Source organism: Homo sapiens, chromosome 12 (assembly GCF_000001405.40).
Source record: "Homo sapiens chromosome 12, GRCh38.p14 Primary Assembly".
Classification (NCBI taxonomy): domain Eukaryota; kingdom Metazoa; phylum Chordata; class Mammalia; order Primates; family Hominidae; genus Homo; species Homo sapiens.
The window spans coordinates 99,217,038-99,243,410 of NC_000012.12; the positions used below are offsets into that span (position 1 = coordinate 99,217,038).

At 37.6% G+C, this 26,373-nt stretch overlaps 1 protein-coding gene across 22 annotated transcripts in view; it reads right to left on the reverse strand.

The window, feature by feature from the left end:
• The window catches only part of ANKS1B (ankyrin repeat and sterile alpha motif domain containing 1B), a 1,250,151-nt gene that overhangs the window by 482,252 nt on the left and 741,526 nt on the right, over positions 1-26,373 (reverse strand). The window lies entirely within an intron of this gene.

Consider the following 26,373-nt stretch of genomic DNA (forward strand, 5'->3'; position numbering starts at 1 on the left):
GAGCAGGACAAAAATAACATGGGCCCTGATGATTTTGGAGCCAACATATCACCTTGGACCAATGACTCAGACTTCAATGTGAGAGATAAGCAAATTTTTATCTTGTTTAAGCCACTATTATTTTGGGCCTCTCTGTTACAGCACTAAAAAATGTACGTTAACCTCTCCATTTTCATGTTTCTGTCCCTTTCATTCACTCCTCCCCCTGAACAACACGACTTAAAGTCACTCATGTGTGCCAATCTCATAAAAAGGCTTCTTCTGAGTTCCTATTCTGAGAACCTGCTAAATTTCCTTGAAATCTAGTTGCCTTGAAGTTGCTAGTCCTCCTCCCTGGTGAATGGTGTCTTGCCCTAAAGCTAAGCCCCAATACCCATGGAAATGTTTTCTCAAAATCTGGTTCCTGTTCATTCTGACTGCCTGGATGTTCCATTATGTTTCCTACCTCCTCTTAAGATCCTCAGCTTCCTTAAGTTGGACCCAATACTAATTATAACCTTATATTGGCTTTTCCTTTCCTTGCCTATGTGATCTTTTTTGTTCATCACATTCCACCAGCAAAGTCCAGAGGCAGCATTTTGAATAGACCTGGTCCCTTTTCTCAATCTCTTTCAGTTTTTTTTTGGCCCCAGAAAATATAACTGATCCCTTGTCTCCATCTCTTTGGCCTTTGAGCTGAAATAACTAGAAGAAGCTTGCCAAAGCATACTAATATATGTAAGTTGTTGAGTGACTACTGTGTAAGTGTCCCATTTTAGGGATTACCTCCAATCCTTATAACAAATCTAAAAAGAGGTTGTATTATTCCCCTTATACAGATGAAGAAACTGAGGCTCAGAGTGAATAAGTGTCTTGTCCAAGATGCCTCATCTAGTAAGTAATGAATCTTCAATTAAAACCCAATCTATAATCTTTTCACTATATAGGCTATCTTCTAAGCCCAATGTTAAGACAAGGGCACAGAGATTAGGGCTCATGAAAAAGAAGACATTCTCTTTGTGAGAATGTCCTACCATGGGTACACAGATTCCAAGGATGTGAGGGGACTATCTAGCACCATACTCTAGAGGCCATATTAACACCAGGATGCTAATATGAAAGTTTCAAAGCTTCTTGGATGAAAAGATGCTCTCCTTCTAACTTCTGCTTTTTGAATTTAAAAAAAGTCATTTTTCTCACCTTTTCTCTCCTAGGATTCTTCTGTTTCCCTGACCTTGATTGACATTTCTCCCTAAGTCCTCTGAATTATTATGGAATTAAATGGCTTATTTTAATTTCCCTAGGTGTCTTTATTGAATTCTTTCACAGTGTTTTATGGAAAATATCTGATTACGAATTCATAGAACAGAACATTATGAGATTCTTTGCTAAGTGGCTGCCACAGTAGTATTCAGGTCCTGAAGCCTCTGCAATCTCTGTTTCTGTATACAGGCTCAGAAACAAGGAGGCAAGCTAAGTTCCAGCATCTTGCAGTTGACTCTTTTATATCACCTCCTGAACAATTCCTAAACAGAAAATACTGTCCCCAACCCCCTGGAAAGATTCATGAAATATTAGAAAGCAAATCATTTTAACACAGAAGTTAAGATCTTGGGTTCTGGAATCAAACTGGGTTTGAATCTCACTGCTTCTGTTTAAATGACCTTGGGTAAGTTTCTTAATCTCACTTTCCCTCCATTTCATGGTCTGTAAAGTGGGAGTAACACCTACCTCACAGAGTATTCATGAGGATTACATGAACTAATAGTGCCAAGCTCATAATAAGTGCCAACCTAAAAGTTAACTAACTATATCTTTTATAATTAAGAAGTAGGAGAGTCTTGTTAAACCTAGTACAAAATACCATAGCATGTGAAAGATTCTATGAGTACCTGCACCTCCTAACCATTTTCTGACCTATATACGTATTATACATAAACATGAAATCATATGAAACCATGCTATTTAGCAGAATTCCTCTAATTCAGCTTGATTGACACAAATAATCCACAATGTGGAGGTGTCCTGAGAGATCAGATGATTCCTTCAGAGAAGAGGGTGAATTCTCATTAGAGATCTGGTAGTTCCAGTCTAGATGAGTCACCAATGAATAGATTTGCTATGGGTTAATGTTCCGCCCAGCTTGACTAAATTTTAGGCAGGTTTCTTCCTGACTATTGGCTCCTAACCTCCCTTTTCTTAGAGCATTTACTTTACAAAACTTGCAATTATAAATTAGGTCTCTGGCCCTTTGACATGTAAATCTTCTCCCAGTCTCTCACTGATTTTACATCCTAAAAATGCCCTTTCCAAGGACCTAGAAACCATCCTTTTGAAATATGATTATCAAAAAAGATAATGTCCTTATCTTCTCATCTCTGTGGAAGGATAGGAGGCTGATTTGATAAGCACCGACAAAGAAACAAGATTTTCCTTCAAAGTAAGGAAGTATGAAGAAGTGGCCTTGTAGGGAGTGACAGACATGGCTCAGATTCAAGCAGATCATTTAGTCATTATAGAGAAGTTAAATATTCCTCTCTTACAGGTTAGCTGGGCTTTAAAATCACAAGAAAAAAGTCAAAGGTTACAGGCTTTTGTGAAAAAGTACACAAAAAGATGCCTTTCACAATGACAGTCAACTCAACTCTCCAAGCAATGCCTAGTTTCTAGAAACTTCCAGATGAAGACCAGCCATTTCAGTCTCTGAAGTCCCAGGGGTGTGCTGGGATCTTCCACCCACTCAGAAAGCCTCTTTCTAAGAATTCAGTCTTTGAGCATAGCTGTTAGCTAGAAAGAAAATTCCAGTTGATGTATGAATCTATAGAACCAGTCATTCTCATGCCCTCTAGGGATAAACTAGGCATCTCCAAACCCTGAAGGAACAGAGTGGTGGTGAGTGGTGTTCAAATATTTTAAAAGTATTGGAGTACCAACAAGGACATACTGGTTAGGAGAATATGAGCTCCCAAAATGGATATTAGACACATTATTATTACTTTTTGAGATGGAATCTTGCTCTGTCGCCCAGGTTGGAGTGCAGTGGCACGATCTTGGCTCACCACAACCTCCACCTCCCAGGTTCAATCGATTCTCCTGCCTCAGCCTCCAGAGTAGCTGAGATTAAAGGTGCATGCCACCACACCCAGCTAATTTTTGTATTTTGAGTAGAGACAGGGTTTCATCATGTTGGCCAGGCTGGTCTTGAACTCCTGACCTCATAATCCACCTGCCTTGGCCTCCCAAAGTGCTGGGATTACAGGTGTAAGCCACCATGCCTGGCCTAGACACATTATAAAGGTAAATAATTATAACCATGTGATGTTGACACATGAGTAAATATGAATAAATTCAGATACCTAAAGGGAATGCAGTAGAAATTAAGTAAAAAACAAAATATAATTTGGCATCAAGCATACAATAAAAGTAGCATTTCTTTTTTTTTTTTTTTTTTTTGAGATGGAGTCTTGCTCTGTTGCCCAGGCTGGAGTCCAGTGGCGTCGGCTCACTGCAAACTCCGCCTCCCAGGTTCACACCATTCTCCTGCCTCAGCCTCCCAAGCAGCTGGGACTACAGGCACCCACCACCACCCCCGGCTAATTTTTTTGTATTTTTAGTAGAGACGGGGTTTCACCATGTTAGCCAGGATGGTCTGGATCTCCTGACCTTGTGATCCGCCTGCCTTGGCCTCCCAAAGTGCTGGGATTACAGGTGTGAGCCACTGCGCCCGGCCTAAAAGCAGCATTTCTAATCAGTGAGGATGACAAGGACTATTAATTCATTCAATAATACAGGAACAATTAAATAGTCATCTAGTAAAAATAAAGTTTGATTCATACCTCATTCCTTATACAACAGTAAATTACATAGATCAAATATAGAAAAACCCAAACCATAAAAGTACTAGAAGAAATTATAATAAGATTCTTATATAATCTGGAAGTGAGGGAGGCCTTTTTAATAATAATACAACATTTTGAAACCATTCATTTAAAAAAGGCTTGATTAAATAAACTACAAAGTAATTTTAAAAATTTGCATGGTGGCCGGGTGCGGTGGCTCACGCCTTTAATCCCAGCACCTTGGGAGGCTGAGGTGGGCAGATCACGAGGTCAGGAGATCGAGACCATCCTGGCTAACATGGTAAAACCCTGTCTCTACTAAAAATACAAAAAAATTGGCCAGGCATGGTGGCGGGCACCTGTAGTCCCAGCTACTCGGGAGGCTGAGGCAGGAGAATGGCGTGAACCCGGGAGGTGGAGCTTGCAGTGAGCCAAGATCATGCTACTGCACTCCAGTCTGGGTGACAGAGGAAGACTCCATCTCAAAATAAAATAAAATAAAATAAAATTTGCATGGTAAAAATCAGTGTAAGTTAAGTTGCAAGTAAATGAAAAACTGAGGAAAGATAATTACAACTTGTATCCATTCATGGGGCTATATGGCTAATAAGAAAGAGCTCCTTTGCCCTTCACATCAATAGAAATAGACCAACAGCAGCTCCCAGAATGGGCCAAGGCATTTTGAACAGGCAGTTCAGAGAAAAGGAAATACAAATGGAACTTAAACATATGAAAAAAAGCTCAATTTTATTCATAATACAAGAAACAGCACAAAGATACTACTTTTCACCTACCAAATATGTAAGTTCCAAAAATTTGATAATATGCTATATTGGTCAGGACATAACAAACTTTTCCTTATATTGCTGCTGATGGTATAAATCATTGTAACTGCTAAGGAGGGCAATTTGGCAATACTTATCAAAAGTACAAACATCCCTGAACCAGCAATTTAACTTTTGGGAATGTATCCATCACACATATGCCTTCATATGTGATGTATAAATAAGGTTATTCATTGCAGCATTGTTTATAATAAGAAAATATATAAACCATTGTTATTGATAGGGAGATAGTTAAATAAATTAAGGTATATTAATAGGATTATTATTATTTTTTAAAATTTTGCAGGCACATAAAACATTCACACAACTAAATACCAGAAAGTGCTCTATGTTCTACTGTGGAAATATCTCTATTAAATTAAATTAATGGGTTAAAAAAACAAGATAAAGAACAGAATGTAGAGTATGCTACCATTTTTTATATAGCTTAAAAATGAGAGATAAAGAGAGGAAAAATATATTTTTATATTTGCTTGTACCTCGGTTAAATATCCCTGGAAGGATATACCTGACACTGTGTGGTTGCCTATTGGGAAGAGAAATGGGTATCTGAGGTAATAGGTATTATAGGGAGATTTGCTTCACTAAACATTGTATAAACTTTTATACTTTCTTACATTAAAACTCTCTTGGCCAGGAGTGGTGGCTCATGCCTGTAATGCCAGCACCTTGGGAAGCCAAGGCAGGTGGATCTCCTTGAGTTCAAAAGTTCAAGACCAGCCTGGATAATACGGCAAAACCCCATCTCTACCAAAAATACAAAAAATTAGCTGGGTGTGGTGGCCCATGCCTGTGATCCCAGTTACTTGGGAGGCTGAGATAGGAGGATCCTTTGAGCTGGGGAGGTGGAGGTTGCAGTGAGCCATGATTGTGCCACTGCACTCCAGCCAGCATGACAGAGCGAGACCCTGTCTCAAAAACAAACAAACAAACAAACAAAACTCTCTTATATGACATCTCATACTTTGAAATGTTCAATTTAATCATTTTCCAAATCTGGAATATGGCTCATTTTTATTGAGATATGAATTGTTGTTGATCTCATGCTTGATCTTCCCAAACAGAACAGAGGCTCTATATCTTTCTCTGAGAAACTTTGGTGATATTTTTAGCACTGAAAGTGGGTAAGAACACTTCTAACACTGGAAATTCAAAGTCTGCAGCACTTACTCTTGGGACTTGGAAAAATTCTTTTTTAAATTAATAATTGTTCATCAATGGTTCCATTTTCTTTGCCTACAAGCATGTTTCTTCCTTCAAAGTGGACATGGGTGTGTGCATATACTCATCTGTACACACATACATACACATGTATATGTGTAAGGTATTGAAAGTAAAATGTTTTCTTTTAAAGTATGTTTGCATTTTTCCTAGAATTGGCCTCACAGTTTCCATCAGACACTCAAAGCAGTGGGTGACATAGGAAAGGTTAAATATTACTAAATAGTGGACATTACAATTCCTAGTTATTCTTTTCCCCTTTCCTACAGCTACCATTTAAATCTAGGTTGGCAACTTCCCTTGGGTCTAAATCAGCAGTCCCCAGTCTTTTTGGCATCAGGGACCGGTGTTATGGAAGACAATTTTTCCATGGGCAGGGCCCAGGGTGGAGGATAGTTTTGGGATGATTCAAGCACATTACATTTTTTGTGCACTTTATTTCTATTATTATTACATTGTAACATATAATGAAATAATTATACAACTCACTACAACGTAGAATCAGTGGGAGCCCTGAACTTGTTTTCCTGCAACTAGATGGTCCCATCTGGGGGTAATGGGAGACAGTGACAGATCATCAGGCATTAGATTCTCATAAGGAGCACACAGTCTATGCAGTTCACAAAAAGGTTCGCACTCCTATGAGAATCTAATGCTGCTGCTGATGTGACAGGATGCAGATCTCCGGTGGTAATGCTCGCTCACCTGCTGCTCACTTCCTGCTATGCAGCCAGGTTTCTAACAGGCCATGGGCTGGTTGGTACTGGTCTGTGGTCTGGGGGTTGGAAATCTTTGGTCTAGATGACCTTGACAGCAGTATAGCTGGCCTGTCTGCCTTCAGGCTTTCCACACTCCACATTATATGCCCAACCAGCCAGCTGTTAGTAATCATTTTAAAAATAATTTACTGCCTACTTTATCAAACTAGCTGTGAAGCGTTTGACTGTACGTTGAACTATAGCCAAGTGTGCTGTATTTCTGCACTCATGAGTGAGCACTTCGTTGTCATACTTCATTGTCCTGGAATTTCTCTGTTCCTGTTTTTATTAGTGGGGAAAACTCTGCTGTATTAATTTTGTTCACAGAATAAACAAATTTTTCTTTAATATATAAAAATAAACTAGAAAACATGTTTTACTGGTCACTTTTCAGGAAGAAATGCCTGTATATATTTTTTAAATTTTTTTTTTTAGGAACTTTCCATAGGGTGAATGATCCATGTTTGAATATAAAGTAATGATTTTATTCAGTGCTTATAAACTGTATTCAATTGCATGGAGAAAAAAGAATACACTGACCTCTAATTTAAAAGTAAAGAGCTTTCTGGAGAGGTAACAGAATAATAACTAATGGAGCTTTACAGTTTATAAGTGCTTTCATATAAATGACCTCATTTGTCCCCACCAAAATCTCATGACAAATTGTAATCCCCAGTGTTGGAGGTAGGGTCGACTGGGAGGTGACTGGATCATGGGGGGTGGTCCTTCATGAATGGTATAGCACCATCTCCTGGTGCTGTTCTTACGATAGTGAGTGAGTTCTCTCGTGAGATCTGGTTGTTTAAAAGTATGCAGCACCTCCCCCTTCTCTCTCTCTTGGTCCTGGTCCTGCCATGTAAGATGCCTATGCTTCTGCTTTGCCTTCCGTCATGAGTAAAAACTCCCTGAAGCCTCCCCAGAAGCAGATGCCGCTATACTTCCTATAAAGCCTGGAGAATCATGAGCCAATTAAACCTATTTTCTGAAAAAATTACGCAGTCTCAGGTATTTCTTTATAGCAGTGAGAGAACAGACTAATACATCATCACTGTTATTTTAAAGAATAAGGAAATGAAGACTCAGAAGGATGAAGCAATGACCAACCCAGGTCATACAGTAGGTAAGCGAAAAACCAGGGCCTTTAACTTAAACTTTCTGACACTGTATCTCATAATCTTTCTCATATGGTGAGTGGCTCTCCCAACATTACTGTTACATAAAAATTTAGGTCATGCGTGTAATTTTATCAAGTATCCCTCAATTCCTGGGACTTAAGTAATTGATACACAGAACAGGTTAAATAGAGAGCCTTTTCTGAAAGGGTAAGGAAAAACAACATTGATGTTTCAGAACCAATGTGTGTTTATATCATGGAAAAAGCTAGAAATCCCAGTAGAAAAGTCTTTACAGAAGCACTACTTATCACTGTATACCTGGCTATATATAAATCATAGGTAGCATACTCCCCCTTTCCCTGAATTCTAATGAAAGCATTGTTCCAAATCTATTACAGCTATATAGTTTTTATAAAATGACCCATGGGGAAAATTCTTTCTAGAGTTTAAAAGCTGGAAAAGAGTTTCTTTCTCTACACGCCTTGATAATATTGTTATCAATATAATATTATATAATATTATAATGACAGTTCTATAGCCCACTTTTGTCTTGATTATCAAGAAGCTCAGAGTCAAGTTGTAGTCTTAGTTGTAGTCATTTTTCTTAATTTGGGTTTTCTAAAATGTGATTGTTAATACTGAATGTCAATTTGATTGGACTGAAGGATGCAAAGTATTGTTTCTGGGTGTCTCCGTGAGGGTGTTGCCAAAGGAGAGTAACATTTGAGTCAGTGGACTGGGAGAGGCAGATCACCCTCAATCTGGGTGGGCACGATCTAATCAGCTGCCAGCGTGGCTACAAAAAAGCAGGCAGAATAAAGTGGAATGGGCAGACTTGCTGAGTCTTCCGGCCTTCATCTGTCTCCTGTGCTGAATGCTTCCTGCCCTGAAACAACAGACTCCAGGTTCTTCAGCTTTGGACTCTTGGAGTTACACCAGTGATTTGCTAGGGGCTCTTGGGCCTTCGGCCACAGACTGAAGGCTGCACTGTCGGCTTCCGTACTTCTGAGATTTTGGGACTTGGACTGGCTTCCTCGCTTCTCAGCTTGCAGACAGCATATTGTGGGACTTCACCTTGTGATCATGTGAGTCAATATTCCTTAATAAACTCCCCATCCATCCTATTAGTTCTGTCCCTCTAGAGAACCCTAATACATGGATTATTTTCTTTGTTCTCCTTTTTACATTTTTCCTTTTATACTATCTAGTTCATACCTTTTACTACCGTTTCAATGGATTTTTATTTTACTGTAATTATATCTTTTTTTATAAGCCTCCTCAAATCTGTTTTGAAGATAGGCAGAGTATAAACATACAGAGTCCATTCTAAGGAACATGAGCATTTAGTCCATTGAAAGAACTAACAATAGTATACCAGGTGCAAATGATCTATTTAATCTCTTGAGTAGCTTCCAGAGAAGAAATTTCTGCTGTAAGTGCACAGGGTAATAGAGTCCTGTTTTCTTTCTTTTATTCTTATAATAAAAGTTTGACATCACTATCACAACCATTTCATGTGTCAGTAACAGTAGATGATAGGTATTTGGTATTATACAACATTTGCTTGTGTTAAAATGAGCCCTGGTATTTCACGTATGTTTTATGATTGTGCACATTTGGTGTGATCCAAAGAGATAATAGTGGAATTTTCTATGGAAATTCTTGTTTGATACAGAATTATATCAGAAGTTGACACAAGAATCAATGTGTATATTGTCTAGGGTATATATCTTACATATATAATTATATCACATCTACAGTTCTGATTATCATAGGAATATAATACACATGTCACACGGACAAACGTATTCATTTTCCTAATTGATGGCTACAGCAGAGAAAACCAGTGAGTATCATCTTTGAGAGATAAAACCGTGGAAATGTCCTTTGTGGTATGATTAATACTAAAAGGGAAAGGGTAATTGGGTGAGAAGTTAGAAGGTGAACCAAAGGAAGACTAAGAACTTTTTGTACCGTCAATAAAACAAATCCAGACTTAGACACGGTGAGACGTAAAAAAACTACATCAACCTGGAGAATGTTCCTCCCTTAGGATTTTCAAGCCACTCAAAAATCAATCAAAAAGGTTTTTCTTTTATAGGGACGGCTAAACAGAACTAGCAGAAACTTAGAGGTAAAATTGAGTGACAGGGCGGAGCTAAGCAGACATCATGATGGGGATGATATAACAGGAAATGTTGCTGTGATCAGCTAATTTGGAATGAACTGTTAAGGTAGGGTGATATAGCTAGTGTTTTTGTTCCCTAGTGTATTGTTCAGTTTCACATTGAATTGTAATCCTCAGTGTTGGAGGTGGGGCCTGGTGGGAGGTTACTGGATCATGGGAGTGGATTTCTCATGAATGGTTTACCATCATCCCCTTGGTGCTATTCTCATGACAGTGAGTGAGTTCTCACAAAATCTAGTTGCTTAAAAGTGTTTGGTACCTCCCCCCTCTCTCGCTTGCTCCTACATTTGCTATACAAAGTGCCTGCTCCCGCTTTGACACCCTCTACCATGATTGTAAGCTTTCTGAGGCTTCCCTAGAACGCGAGCAGATGCCAGGAACATGCTTCCTGTAAAGCCTGCAGAACCGTGAGCCAATTAAACCTCTTTTCTTTATAAATCACTCAGTCTCAGGTATTTCTTTATAGTAAGGCAAGAACAGCCTAACACAGTGGGATGTTTACATTTTAGTGTTTGCTCAGATTTGGGGCAAGCCAAAAGTCAGGAGCCTGTGGGGAGGAGAGATGTCTGATTAAATCTTGATCAAGCCAAGTCAGTGGGCAAGAAATGGGCAATTGTGAGCATCTGGCCGGGATCTGCAACCTCATGAAAAGTATATACCATCAAAAGGCTAACTACTTGTTTGTCACATAAATTCTTATAAAAAGCTTAGTGGAGCCAAGAAGCAAGCTAAGTATAATAAGAGAAACTCTTCTTACCATTTGTATCACTAATGAGCACATAATTGCAGCTAGTCATGTAAGTCTCCTACAAATCAGCGTAAGGTTAATTAAGAGAGTTGAGACACTTAGGTGAAAGTCACTTTTGCTTATAGTAAAGAACTTATCTATCTTACAGACACATATCACTTACATTATGTATTTGTTATATTAATATATTTAATATATTTAAAAAACATTGTAAAATGATGATCTGGCAATATCCCTAGAAGAACCTCATTGAAATACTTGAGATTTATTGGTCATTTGTCTTTACAAAATTGAGATTTGAAAAGCTTTAAAGGAGGACATTCTACCAAAGCATAACTCATAAAACAGAAGATAAAAGTATGAGCCATGGAATTATAGAGCTGGAAAAGATCTAGCCCTACTGTTTCATTTTCAAATGAGGAAATTGAGGGTTATTCTAAGGGGTTGTTTTTTTAAGTCATACAGTAAGTTGGTGCAGACGGAGGAGTAGCAATCAGATCTCTGAGCTCTTTTCCTCTTTGACAATGAAGTTCACGAATGCAATTTTGTTTCATAAGTTATTTACTTTACTAAAGTAAAGTAAGGTACAGCTATGATTTATTGTTAAATGAGAAGAATGAGTGTCAGAGAACTGTATATGGCATGATTTCATGTTCTTAAAATACAAACAATATTTGTCAATCTATCTATCTATCTATATTGATTTATTTATCTTCTATCTGTATGTGATTGAATGAAATTGGAGAAATGAGTGGAAGCATATACACCACACTAACATTGAACATTTACAAGAAGGGTAAAAAAAGGAGTAAGAAAAAAGGAAGCAAAATAGAATTTGGTAAAATGGTATGTGAAAGTGAAGATTGCAAAACTTTTATCCATAAAATTATTAATACATAAAAATTGAATGTGCACATAGACGAAGACTAGAAAGTCACTAGGATATACATACAACAAGAACATAAACAAAAGAACATATTATTTTGACCAGGGGTTTATTAAAAATAAAAATAAAAACAAGTCCAATGACTCCCTTTTCTGAAACCACTGAAACACAACTATTTTGACTCAAAACTGATAAAAAGATGTAATCATATATTCACAAACAGTATTCACTTAGGAAATTTTACCTTATTTTCAGCATTGATACCTATAAAGTTTTGTGCTTCACCTATGAATGTATATATATGTACATATACGTCCATATAAATATTTTATTTGCTTACCATTATATTTGTTTACTAAATTTGGATATACTTCTTTATTAAATAATTTAGACAATGAAAATAAAATTAATGTATACTCACTGTTAAAAGCTTAGAAAATTTAGAAAAAGAGAGAGCAGAAAATAAAAACCACTGATAATCTTACTCAGAGATATCCACTGTTAGACTTTTTGCATATGTCCTTTCAGATTTTTTTTGCATGTATGTGTATTCAAAAATGGGCTAATATCTTACTTTATTATCTGCTGCTTTCATTTAGTAACAAATTATGGCTATATTTCTGTGGTAATATATATAGATACAATGTCATTTTAAATTAGGTGTTTAACATTTTATCATCAGGAATTAGTGTAATTTCTTTTTTAAATTTTCTATTAATGGTCATTTGATTTGATTCTATTTTTTAAACAACCATAAACAATGCTGAAATGAATATCTTTATATGTGCATTTTTTGCTCCTGTTCAATTGCTTCCTTAGGATATATTCCTATATGTGATATTTAATTATAAAATATTTAATTTCCTAACTCCCTGGAAGTTTACACTTCAGTATCAAAAACACTAGTGGATGACAATTCCTTTGCTATTAGAACAGAAGACCATAGAATCAACCAATAACAGATACAAAGTTTTTCTCATGGGTAAGTGCCCTACACTGGTCACTTAATTCTTCATTATATTTTGGGCAAATAAATTTGTATCTAAAAACCATCTTTATGATGATCTATGACTTATAAAAATCTACTATTTATCTTACAAATTACTTCCAATTACTTTTACTTCTTCTTCTGTTGCCGGTATGAGGTCACTAATGGTAGATTTTAGAAAATGCGCTAACAATTATATGTAAACCATACAATTAGTATTTTTTAAGTGTCTACAAAGAAGACATTTGCAAGTGGTTTCTAGCTTTATTGTGAATGTGCAAGGGGTATATTCTATCAAGTAAGCATCATTCCTATCCTCAAGACACTTATATATACTGGAAATATGAAATCATTATCCATAGTTTGGAAAAATTTTTCTTTTAAGAAAATAATAGATGGAAAAGAAAAGAGAAGTCCAAGGAAAAAAAAAGTCATCTGTTAAGATCTGCTATGTACCAGGAATATAGTTAACTACTTCCTTATTAATTACAGCCTCCCAATAATATTGAAGTAGATATTATTTATTATAGCTGTTTTCCATATGAAGAAGTGAAATTCAGACTGATGAAATGATTTGCACAAGGTGACACTGCCAATAATTGATATAGTGAGATTCAAACCTAGGTGACATACTTTTGACCCAACAAAATAAGTTTTCAACAACTTGAGTGTCTCAGTGATAGAATATATTATCTCTGGAAGCAGTGAGCTTATCATCATGGGAAGTATGTTAGCAGATGTTAGTTGATGTTGGTTGATCATATATCAGAGACATGAAAAATATTCTACTACTAATGGGCGATTTCACTTGCTCATCTCCCTAGGCCCCTTCTGGAGGGTTAGATATTTTGTTGAATTGAAAACTGTACCATTTTTAAACCATTGATACGTCATAAGCAAATATTAGACCACAGAATAATACTCAACTATTTTACACTTAAGGGAAACCAAATATCACAATGAATATTATCTCTAATTTTAGAATACTAGAGAATCTCAGCGGTATTTGAAAGATCAAAATTTATATTATGCATGTTATTTTTGCTTTTAAACACTAGTTAGAATGTATGGTGCTAAATACATTTTAGCGTCTGTGGTGCTAAGAACACAATCGTTTGATTAAACAAGATCTCTTGATAAAGATTAGTTAGCACATGCTAGCCTAACAATTACTGAAATTCACATTTTTACATGGGTATCCTATTATTAAGTGATTCCTTAGATTTAATCTATCTGAAAAAAGTCAGTAAAATGTTATATAAAATAATAATAAAAATAAATCCTCTCTTGATTTAGATAAAATAGCATGCTTGTGTGCTAATGTATTCTACTACCTACCTTCCCCAGTTGCTTCTATTAAAAATAGTACTGTAAAAAGAAATAAAAATCAAAAATATAATATGCCTGTTGCAAAGCGTTTCAGAGAAGCTTTTATGTGAAATTTAACAGTTCATGGAACAAAGAATATGACTGGAGGCAAGGAAAATTTCTCCTCTGAAAATAAGTGAAACCTAGGTCGTCATTAGAGTTTGTGCATTCACTTTTGGGACATAGGATATGTTCAGGGCTATGACTCATTTACATACATGACTATGTGGCCTGTGTTTTGGGAGGGCTGTGGGGTGTTAGCTGAAGCCTTCCATGCTGGTAGTTATGCTTTGCTAAGAGAAGGCTGGTTCTCTACTTACACCCCCTCAGATGGCTCTCTTTAGTGCATGTCTGTATGATTTGACCTAACAGAAAGAAGAAATGGACTAGCTTCTGTTATTCTATGTCAGCAGCATATTTTATTGAAAGGAGTATGGACTTCAGGAAAAGAAAAATCAGGGTTTGAAGCAGCTGAGAAGTCAACAAGCTACTTATTCTTCTGAGCTCTTCTTCATCTATAAAATGGGCATAATAATACTTCACTGAGTGAGTTGTTTTGAGAATTGAATACAAAAAATGTTGACAGTAGTAAACTGCACATCATCTGATACACAGTTAAGAATGGAGTACATTTTAGCATCCTTTTTTTTAGTTCTGTAATAAGGAGATTGTAAATACATTTAAAAAAAAATGTTTCCCTAGAGTTTGGTGGGTGATATTGCCACTTAGGAGGATAGCTATCAGCTGCACTGGTGACAAAGTACCTCCTGATGCAGACCCAGAGCTACATAAGCAAACATGAGGGGCTTGGAAGCAACCCAGACATCAAGCAGGAGCAGTTTCCAGGGCTGTGAAGATGTTTGCTCTCCTCTACTTAGAAAGAGGCTCTTTTAGGAGAAAGGGACATATTTAGGAGAAAGAGCTCTGCCTGTTCTTGCAGACCCAGGGAAAGAGGAGCTTGGATCAGGAAGCCAGAGAGCATTTACTCTGCCTTAGTGAGTTCCTAAGGTCCTAGAAACTCTCTATGGGTGGGTCTCTGCTGCGGTGAGGGACTCTGAACTGTGACCTGCCCCTCAGATCCCAGGAAGAAGAGAAGCAAAAGCTTAGAAAGCAAGGCTGTAGGATAAGTGTTAGCCACTGATTTCAGAGCTATGTATTTTCCAGCAAATTGTCTAAGAACTATGCTTTATCTATCCAATATAGACAATGTACTCTATAATAAAATTCCTTAGGAATTAATTTTAATAGCTTTCATTTATAATTAAAATCTAGATGGCATTTATATATTGACAAATGAATACAATTTAACCTTAAGTATAAGAAGAAAATGCCAGCCTTAAAAATACATTTTAACTACTTAACTATTTTTATACGAATGCACTTGAGATTAATCTAATATAGTCCATATATCTTGCAGTCAGTTCAATGTAACAAGATTATTAAAACTGGTTTAGAAATAGGAGGGTGTTTATGAGATTATCTGTCACCCTTGTATTGTGAAGCCTGAGCGCTTGATTACTCTGCATGTTTGCTCTTGTGTAATGACAAGCACGTCCCGTGGAGCCAATTACTGCCTCCACTTTACTTAAGTGATCCTCCATCCCATCAAGAAGATATTCAACCTGATTCTTAGAAAAGTGTGAGTATTTGAAGTAGTTCCAGTGAAGGTGGTAAATTTCCTAACTTGAAAGCACTTTCTTATGATTGCAATGACAATGGTTAAAGAAATAAAACTTCAGAAAAGATTCCACATGAAAGCAACTTAGAATATGAGTAATTATACCTTAACTACAATCCTCAGTGATCAAAAGATAAGCAAGGTTTCCCAAGCATCTTTCTGTGGAGCATGCACTCTAATGAGAAAGAGAAGCCATGCATACTCTGATAAAAAGGCAAGAAAATTATATTTATGAATTACCAGCTATGTTTCAGGCTATAAAGTTGAGAATTCCCAACCTGAAAATCTGAAATCCGAAATGCTCCCAAATCTAATTTTTTGAACACCTACATGACACCACAAGTAGAAAATTTTGACTGTATTTTGACAAGCCACAGTCAAAATACAGTCAAAATTTTGTTTTGTGCACAAAATTATTAAAAATATTGTATAAAATTACATTCATGCTTTGTATAGAAGGTGTATATAAATAACAAATGAATTTCATGTTTAGATTTGGGTCCCAACTACAAGATGTTTCATTATATATATGCAAACATTCCAAATCCAAAAATAATTGAAATCTGAAACACTTCCGGTCACAAGCATTTCAGATAAGGGATACCTAAACTGTAGTAGTACAGTGTATAATTTAATCTTGCTACAGTCTTATAGGGTGGTTATTAAAAATCTGAGTTTCTAGGTGAGGAAGTTGACATCAGGGAGGTCAGAAATTGCAAAACTGGGACTTGAGACCAGGTCCATCTAACTTCAAAACCTGTTATCTGAAAGGATTCTAAAAATGCAAACCTGAGAGTGCATGATGATGTAGAATATATTATCACATCACATATCCAGCTTTGCTGAAGAACAGGGTGTTCTGCACAATATGAGGCATTGAATATAATTGAATCCTACACCAATACTGATTTGTTTGGCATTTGAGTCTGATTTCAAGTGGGAAAACAGAAGTGTTGTTTGTAAAACTTATGAATTAATAAGTTCTGAGAATCAAAAGGACTGACCTCAAACAAATTCAGGAAATTATATTTACTCTTATTTCTGTCTTAGTCCTGGACAGTTGACGTTGCTAGATAAGTTTCAAACTACTACACAATTGCTGAGAAAATTGGGGTGGTAGGAAAAAGAGGAAACTGATTTCTATTAGTAAAACTAGTTGATGACCCATAGAGACTGCTCAAACTTTGAGTGGGTTCATATTTATAGGAATAAAGATGAGAGACCTCCAAATCTTTTCCTGATCCAATAAATATTTTGTTTATAAAATATCTGACATTAGAAATGTGTAGGGGTGGGGACAACAAAAAAAATGCTGAGACAAAATAGGCAAGAGAATCCAAATGTAATGTTGACCTTTGATCCTTCATCTCCATTGCTTAAGATTTTATTCTCCCAATTGTCTTAAGAGGTCTTAAGCAACAAACATAAGTGTTCAAAAAACTACAGAGCTCTGTTAGAGCTAGGCATAGCACTTGACTTAGTATCCTCCCAAAGCAAAATTTTGCAGATAGACAACACATACTACATAAAACGGTGTTTCCTCTTGCTCATTTTAAATTTACCTCCCATTAATTTCATTGCCTGTCCCTTCCCAATTGTCAAGCAAAAGCAGTATGATCAGATTTCATCAAAATAACTTAGACCACTTAAATCAATGTGTATTAGACTTTTCTTCTTTCTGTGCCAGGGTACTCTGGAATTTTATGCTCTCTTTTAGTAACTGCTCTTCTCTGGTACCAATTGACTGGTGCATTTATCATGACCTGTATTCCAACTGACACACCACAACAATTCCTGGGAATACAGTGAATTTAACATTAAGATTGTAAGATCAGCTGACATTCTAAGATTCTTACAGACAGGGCTTACGTGTATTTATTTTGGTATGACCACAGCAGCAAACACAATGTCTGCATCACAATAGGACAAGGTGAGAGCTAAAATTTAATATGTATCTGCATATGTTAGACTTTTATGTATATGCCATCGTGCATCTCTACACTCATCCTCTATTAGTATTCTCATTTCTGTCAATGGGGAAACTGAGTAAGTCACCTAAGATCAAGCAGCTGGTAAATAACAGAGCCAAGATTTGAATTCATGTCTGTCTGACTTTTTTTTTTTTTACCATGTGATTTACCAACCACACTCAGTACCCAAAATATTACTTGTGGAATGCCATTTTCACAGGGTTGTTTATCACACCTCTAATTAAACCTACCCTTGAGAGGGAAAAAACTGCAACTCAGCAAAACTGTAATTCACAACTAGCCTAATGGCCAAGTGGAATGGTACATGCCATGGTCAATCACTTAGCACGTAAGTAGTGTGTGATGAAGAGGTAAAAATTGAGGCACACACAGAGCCAGCCTCTGTTAATAACAATGATTCTTTGGGGACTGAGTCTCCACTTTCATTTTAACTACCACTGTAGAAAAATGATAAATAAAGTCAGTAGGTAGGATGGCAATATGATAGGTAGAAAGAGAAGAAAAAATAATTTGTGTATTTGTTTACCACTAAAATGCCCTTAAGAGGCAGCTTTGTCCAAGTGGCACTTTTAACATTTATTTTTACTTTTAATAATCATGTGTATTATATTTTTATGGCTCAATGGCACTATATGTTTGAAGAATTTTAGAACATTAATATCCAATGTTACCTAAGTCTAGCTGTGGACTTCATGCATGAAACACCATTCCAGCACAGAAGCACTCCTAGCTTGAATATCCTCAGTATTGAGGAACTTACTATCACACGGGGCAGCCACTCTATCTTTGAATAAAGATAGAATGAGTAAAGTTGATAAGAAAAGAAATTCTTACCTTCACATCAATCAAAGATCTGTATTCTTACAATATCCCTGAAATTATTCTGTAAGCAGGCCTGAAAGAATTACGTGGCAACATATGTTGCTAGGCTGGTTCGTTGGGTTTTGGCAAAGTCCTCAGTGTTTGTCAGCATTTCTATGTGAGAGAACTGGCTACATAGTCTATCTTGGAGCTAATATCATACTTGGGTCACTAAACATATGTATGAAATTTTGAGAATTGTTTCTTAATTTTTCAGTTTTAAAATCTAATGCAAACCTGTATTTCAGAAAAAAAGTATTGCTTGACCTTTTTAAAAATTATCACTTAATTAACATGGGGCCCAGCCGAGTTAGAATAACTTCTCACTTGTTCCAACATAAGAGAAACAAGCAAGGTACTCCTACCAGGGTGTCACTTAGACCTGCATATTCTTTTTAGTGATTGCAATGTTACTTCTTAGCCACCCAGGCCAATCCACCATAAAACAATCATTCTCCAACTTTCCTGGTCTTAAGAGTCACTTGGATTGCTTGTTTAAAAGGCATATTTGTTGAGCTCTGCCTCCAGAAATACTGATTTAGTAGCATGGAGCCGAGGAATCTTCATTTTTCACCAGCGCTGGAAGTGATTCTGATGCAAGTGATTTGTAGACCACATTTTGAGAAAAATTCCCTAATGTTAGCAGTTGTAATGATGCAGGTAGTTCATTCAGTTTTGCTTCAGTACAAAACTGCAAGGATAATACTATTGGGTTTTCTAGATATAGGATCATGCCATCTGCAAACAGGGATAGTTTGACTTCCTCTCTTCCTATTTGGATGCTGTTTTTCACACTGCTGTAAAGATACTACCTGAGACTGGGTTATTTATAAAGAAAAGAGGTTTAACTGACTCGCAGTTTCGCATGGCTGAGGAGGCCTCAGGAAACTTACAATCATGGTGGAAGGCAAAGGGGAAGCAAGGCACATCTTACATGGCAGCAGGAGAGAGACACAGTAAAGGGGGAATTGCCACACTCTAAGACCATCAGGTCTCGTGAGAACTCACCCACTATCATGAAAACAGCATGCTGGGAACCAACCCCATGATCCAATCACCTCCCACTAGGTCCCTCCCTTGACATATCAGGATTACAATTCAAGATGAGATTTGGGTGGGAACACAGCCAAACCATAGCAGATGCCCTTTCTTTCTTTCTCTTGCCTGACTGCACTGGCCAGAACTTCTGATACTATGTTGAATAGGAATAAGGAGGGCATGCTTGTCTTGTGCTGATTTTCAAGGAGAATGCTTCCAGCTTTGACCATTAAAAAGAATGAGATTATATCCTTTGCAGGGACATGGATGGAGCTGGAGACCATTATCCTTAGCAAACTAACACAGGAACAGAAAACCAAATTCTGCATGTTCTCACTTATAAGTGGGAGCTAAATGACGAGAACACATGGACACACAGAGGGGAACAACACACGCTGATATCTTTTGGAGGATGGAGGGTGGGAGGAGGGAGAGAGTCAGGAAAAATAATGGGTACTAGGCTTAATACCTGGGTGATGAAATAATCTGGACAACAAACCTCCATGATACAAGTTTACCTATGCAGCAAACATACTTGTATCCCTGAACATAAAATAAAAGTTAAAAAAGAAGAAAATTGCAAGGATGGTAAGATTTGGGGCTCTTTCATAACTTTTCAAATATGTCAACTGAGAATATCAAAATGAATCACCAGCCTTTTTTGTTTGGGGTGTGTTCCTGTGTGTTTGTCACAAAATTCACATACTTTTCAACTGTGCCTGCCTTACACTAAAATAGTCATTATACCCAGCTGTATAGGCCCAGCTATATACATATATATGTATATATATGTGTGTGTATGTGTTTGTGTGTGTCTGGGGGCTCCACACACATTTGGTGTCAATACTGAAGTAATGCAAATATCTCTGTATTGGCTACAAAACTCAAACAAGAAAAATGAATAGATTTGGATCTGATATGGCCTTCCACTTTGGCTCTGAACTTTAGTTGTAAGGAAGAAAATAATACTTAGTAAGAGTAATATATAAAATAGTGATTGTAAAACCAACTATTTGTGAAATAGTCTGCCAAGTATTATGGGATACATAAAGATGATTAACACACAGTTCTTGCAAAATTGGAGCCCACAACTTAGCAGAAGTTGTTAATCACTTTGGTCAGGTGAATGTTTCACTGAATAAGAAATATTAGTGTATTAAGTCATCAGATTCTTTAATGCTTTGAAGTGCTTCATACTGAGCTCTACATAAAATAGAAACTTCGTGTGTGTGCATGTGTGTCTATATATATACATATTTGAAGACAGGGTCTCACTATCTTGCCAAGGCTGGTCTCAAACACCTAGGCTCTAGCAATCCTTTGGCCTCAGCCTCCCGAGTACCTGGGACTACAGGCACATGCCTAGCACATAGAAAAACTTCACTGGTGTCCAAGGTGGCTGAATAGGAAGAGCTCTGGTCTGCAGTTCCCAGTGAGATCGATGCAGAAGATGGGTGATTTCTGCATTTCCAACTGAGGTACCTGGTTCATCTCATTGAGACTGGTTGGACAGTGGGTGCAGCCCACAGAGGGCGAGCTGAAGCAGGGCGGGGTGTTGCCTCACCCAGGAAGTGCAAGGGGTTGGGGGATTTCCCCTTCCTAGCCAAGGGAAACTGTGACAGACTGTACCTGGAGAAATGGTACACTCCTGATCAAATACTGCACTTTTCCCACAGTCTTAGCAACTGGCAGACCAGGAGATACCTTCCCTTGCCTGGCTTGGTGGGTCCCACACCCACGGATCCTTGCTCACTGCTAGTGCAGCAGTCTGAGATCAACATGCAATGCTGCAGCTTGACGGGGGGAGGGGCATCCGTCACTGTTGAGGCTTGAGTAGCTCACAGTGTGAACAAAGCAGCCGGGAAGCTCCAAATGGGTGGAGCCCACTGCAGCTTAGCAAGGCCTACTGCCTCTCTAGATTCCACCTCTGGGGGAAGGGCATAGCAGAACAAAAGGCAGCAGACAGTTTCTGCAGATTTAAATGTCCCTGTCTGACAGCTCGGAAGAAAGCAGTGGTTCTCTCAGCACAGCGTTTGAGCTCCAAGAACAGACAGACTGCCTCCTCAAGCAGGTCCCTGACCCCTGTGTAGCCTGACTGGGAGACATCTCCCAGTAGGGGCCAACAGACACCTCAAAGAGGTGGGTGCTCCTCTGGGACAAAGCTTCCAGAGGAAGGATCAGGCAGCAATATTTGCTGTTCTGCAGCCTCTACTAGTGATACCCAGGCAAACAGGGTCTGGAGTGGGCCTCCAGCAAACTCCAGCAGACCTGCAGCTGAGGGGCTTGACTGTTAGAAGGAAAACTAATAAACAGAAAGGAATAGCATCTACAGCAACGAAAAGGACATCCACACCAAAACCCCATCTGTATAGGTCACCAACATCAAAGACCAAAGGTAGATAAAACCAAAAAAATGGGAGAAACCACTGCAGAAAAGCTGAAAATTCCAAAAACCAGAATGCCTCTTCTCCTCCAAAGGATTGCAGCTCCTCGCCAGCAAGTGAACAAAACTAGACAGAGAATGAGTTTGATGAGTTGACAGAAGTAGCCTTCAGAAGGTTGGAATAACAAACTCCTCTGAGCTAAAGGATCATATTCTAACCCATCTCAAGGAAGCTAAAAACCCTGAAAAAAGGTTAGACAAATGGCTAACTAGAATAAACGGTGTAAAGAAGACTTTAAATGACCTGATGGAACTGAAAACCAAAGCACAAGAACCTCATGATGCATGCACAAGCATCAATAGCTGATTTGATCAAGTGGAAGAAAGGATAACAGTGATGGAAGATCAAATAAATGAAATAAAGCAAGAAGACAAGATTAGAGAAAAAAGAGTGAAAAGAAATGAACAAAGCCTCCAAGAAATATGGGACTATGTGAAAAGACCAAATATACATTTGATTGGTGTACCAGAAAGTGACAGGGAGAATGAACCAAGTTAGAAAACACTCTTCAGGATATTATCTAGGAGAACTTCCCGAATCTAGCAAGGCAGGCCAACATTCAAATTCAGGAAATACAGAGAACACCACAAAGATACTCCTCAAGAAGAGCAACCCCAAGACACATAATCATCAGATTCAACAAGGTTGAAATGAAGGAAAAAATGTTAAGGGCAGCCAGAGAGAAAGGTTGGGTTACCCACAAAGGGAAGCCCATTAGACTAACAGTGGATCTCTTGGCAGAAACATTACAAGCAAGAAGAGAGTGGGGGCCGATATTCAACATTCTTAAAGAAAAGAATTTTCAACCCAGAATCTCATATCCAGCCAAATTATGCTTCATAAATGAAGGAGAAATAAAATCCTTTACAGACAAGCAAATGCTGAGAGATTTTGTCACCACCAGGCCTACCTTACAAGAGCTCCTGAAGAAAGCACTAAACATGGAAAGGAACAACCGGTACCAGCCACTGCAAAAACATGCCAAATTGTAAAGACCATCAACGCTATGAGGAAACTGTGGAATTAACAGGCAAAATAACCAGCTAACATAATGATAGGGTCAAATTCAAAGATAACAATATTAACCTTAAATGTAAATAGGCTAAATGTCCCTATTAAAAGACACAGACTGGAAAATTGGATAAAGAGCCAAGACCCATCAGTGTGCTGTATTCAGGAGACACATCTCACATGCAGAGACACACATAGGCTCAAAATAAAGGGATGGAGGAAGATCTACCAAGCAAATGGAAAACAAAAAAAAGCACGGATTGCAATCCTAGTCTCTGATAAAACAGATTTTAAACCAACAAGATCAAAAGAGACAAAGAAGGCCACTATATAATGGTAAACGGATCAATTCAACAAGAAGAGCTAACTATCCTAAATATATAGGCACCCAATACAGGAGTAACCAGAATCATAAAGCAAGTCCTTAGAGACCGACAAAGAGACATAGACTCCCATACAATAATAATGATAGACTTTAACACCCCACTGCCAATATTAGACAGATCAATAAGAGAGAAAGTTAACAAGGATATCCAGGACTTGAACTCAGCTCTGGACCAAGCGGACATAATAGACATCTACAGAACTGCATACCCCAAATCTTCTCAGCACCACATCCCACTTATTCTAAAATTGACCACATAGTTAGAAGTAAAACACTCCTCAGCAAATGTAAAAGAGCAGAAATCATAACAAACCGTCTCTAAAACCACAGTGCAATCAAATTAGAACTCAGGATTAAGAAATTCACTCAAAACTGCTCAACTACGTGGAAACTGAACAACCTGCTCCTGAGTGACTACTGGGTAAATAACAAAATGAAGGCAGAAATAAAGATGTTCTTTGAAACCAATGAGAACAAAGACACATTGTACCAGAATCTCTGGGATACATTTAAAGCAGCGTGTAGAGGGAAACTTATAGCACTAAATGCCCACAAGAGAAAGCAGGAAAGATCTAAAATTGACACGCTAACATCACAATTAAAAGAACTAGAGAAACAAGAGCAAACAAATTCAAAAGCTAGCAGAAGACAAGAAATAATTAAGATCAGAGCAGAATTGAAGGAGATAGAGACACAAAAAATCCTTCACAAAATCAATGAATCCAGGAGCTGGTTTTTTGAAAAGATCAACAAAATTGATATACCACTAGCAAGACTAATAAAGAAGAAAAGAGAGAAGAATCAAACAGATGCAATAAAAAATGATAAAGGGGATATCACCACCAATCCCACAGAAATACAAACTACCATCAGAGAATACTATAAACACCTCTACGCAAATGAAGTAGAAAATCTAGAAGAAATGGGTAAATTCCTGGACACATACACCTTCCCAAGACTAAACCAGGAAGAAGTTGAATCTCTGAATAGACCAATAACAGGTTCTGAAATTGAGGCAATAATAAATAGCCTACCAACTAAAAAAAGTCCAGGACAAGACAAATTCACAGCCGAGTTCTACCAGAGGTACAAAGAGGAACTGGTACCATTCCTTCTGAAACTTTTCCAATCAATAGAAAAAGAGGGAATCCTCCCTAACTCATTTTATGAGGCCAGCATCATCTTGATACCAAAGCCTGGCAGAGACACAACAACAAAAGAGAATTTTATGCCAATATCCCTGATGAACATTGATGTGAAAATCCTCAGTAAAATACTAGCAAACTGAATCCAGCAGCACATCAAGAAGCTTATCCACCACGATCAGATTGGCTTCATCCCTGGGAGGCCAGGTTGGTTCAACATACACAAATCAATAAATGTAATCCATCACATAAACAGAACCAACAACAAAAAGGACATGATTATCTCAGTAGATGCAGAAAAGGCCTTTGACAAAATTCAACAGCCCTTCATGCTAAAAACTCTCAATAAACTAGGTATTGATGGAATGTATCTCAAAATAATAAGAGCTATTTATGACAAACCCACAGCCAATATCATACTGAACGGGCAAAAACTGGAAGCATTCCCTTTGAAAACCGGCGAAAGACAGGGATGCCCTCTCTCACCACTCCTATTCAAAATAGTGTTGGAAGTTCTGGCCAGAGCAATCAGGCAAGAGAATGACATAAATCAATTAGAAAAAGAGGAAGTCAAATTGTCTCTGTTTGCAGATGATATGATTGTATATTTAGAAAACCCAATCATTTTAGCCCAAAATCTCCTTAAGCTGATAAGCAACTTCAGCAAAATCTCAGGATACAAAATCAATCTGCAAAAATCACAAGCATTCCTATACACCAATAATAGACAAACAGAAAGTCAAAACATGAGTGAACTCCCATTCACAATTACTACAAAGAGAATAAAATACCTAGGAATCCAATTTACAAGGGATGTGAAGGACCTCTTTAACCAGAACTACAAACCACTGCTCAATGAAATAAAAGAGGACACAAACAAATGGAAGAACATTCCATGCTCATGGATAAGAAGAATCAATATCGTGAAAATGGCCACACCACCCAAGGTAATTTATAGATTCAATGCTATCCCCATCAAGTTGCCACTGACTTTCTTCACAGAATTGGAAAAACTACTTTACAATTCATATGGAACCAAAAAAGAGCCTGTGGAGCCAAGACAATCCTAAGCAAAAAGAACAAACCAGGAGGCATCATGCTATCTGACTTCAAATTATTCTACAAGGCTACAGTAAACAAAACAGCATGATTCTGGTACCAAAACAGATATATAGACCAATGGAACAGAACAGAGGCCTCAGATATAACAACACACATCTACAACCATCTGATCTTCAACAAACCTGACAAAAACAAGCAATGGGGAAAGGATTCCCTATTTAATAAATGGTGCTGGGAAAACTGGCTAGCCATATGTAGAAAGCTGAAACTGGATCCCTTCCTCACACCATATACAAAAATTAACTCAAGATGGCTTAATGACTTTAATGTAAGACCTAACACCATAAAAATCCTAGAAGAAAACCTAGGCAATACCATTCAGGACATAGGCATGGGCAAAGACTTCATGACTAAAACACCAAAAGCAATGGCAACAAAAGCCAGAATAGACAAATGGGATCTAATTAAACTAAAGAGATTCCACACAGCAAAAGAAAAGGCAACCTACAGAATGCGAGAAAATTTTTGCAATCTACCCATCTGACAAAGGGTTAATATCCAAAATCTACAAAGAACTTAAACAAATTTACAAGAGAAAAACAAATAATCCCATCAAAAAGTGGGCAAAGGTTATGAACAGACACTTCTCAAAAGAAGACATCTATCTAGCCAACAGACACATGAAAAAATGCTCATCCTCACTGGTCATCAGAGAAATGCAAATCAAAACCACAGTGAGATACCATCTCAAGCCAGTTAGAATGGCGATCATTAAAAAGTCAGGAAACAACAGATGCTGGAGAGGACGTGGAGAAATAGGAAT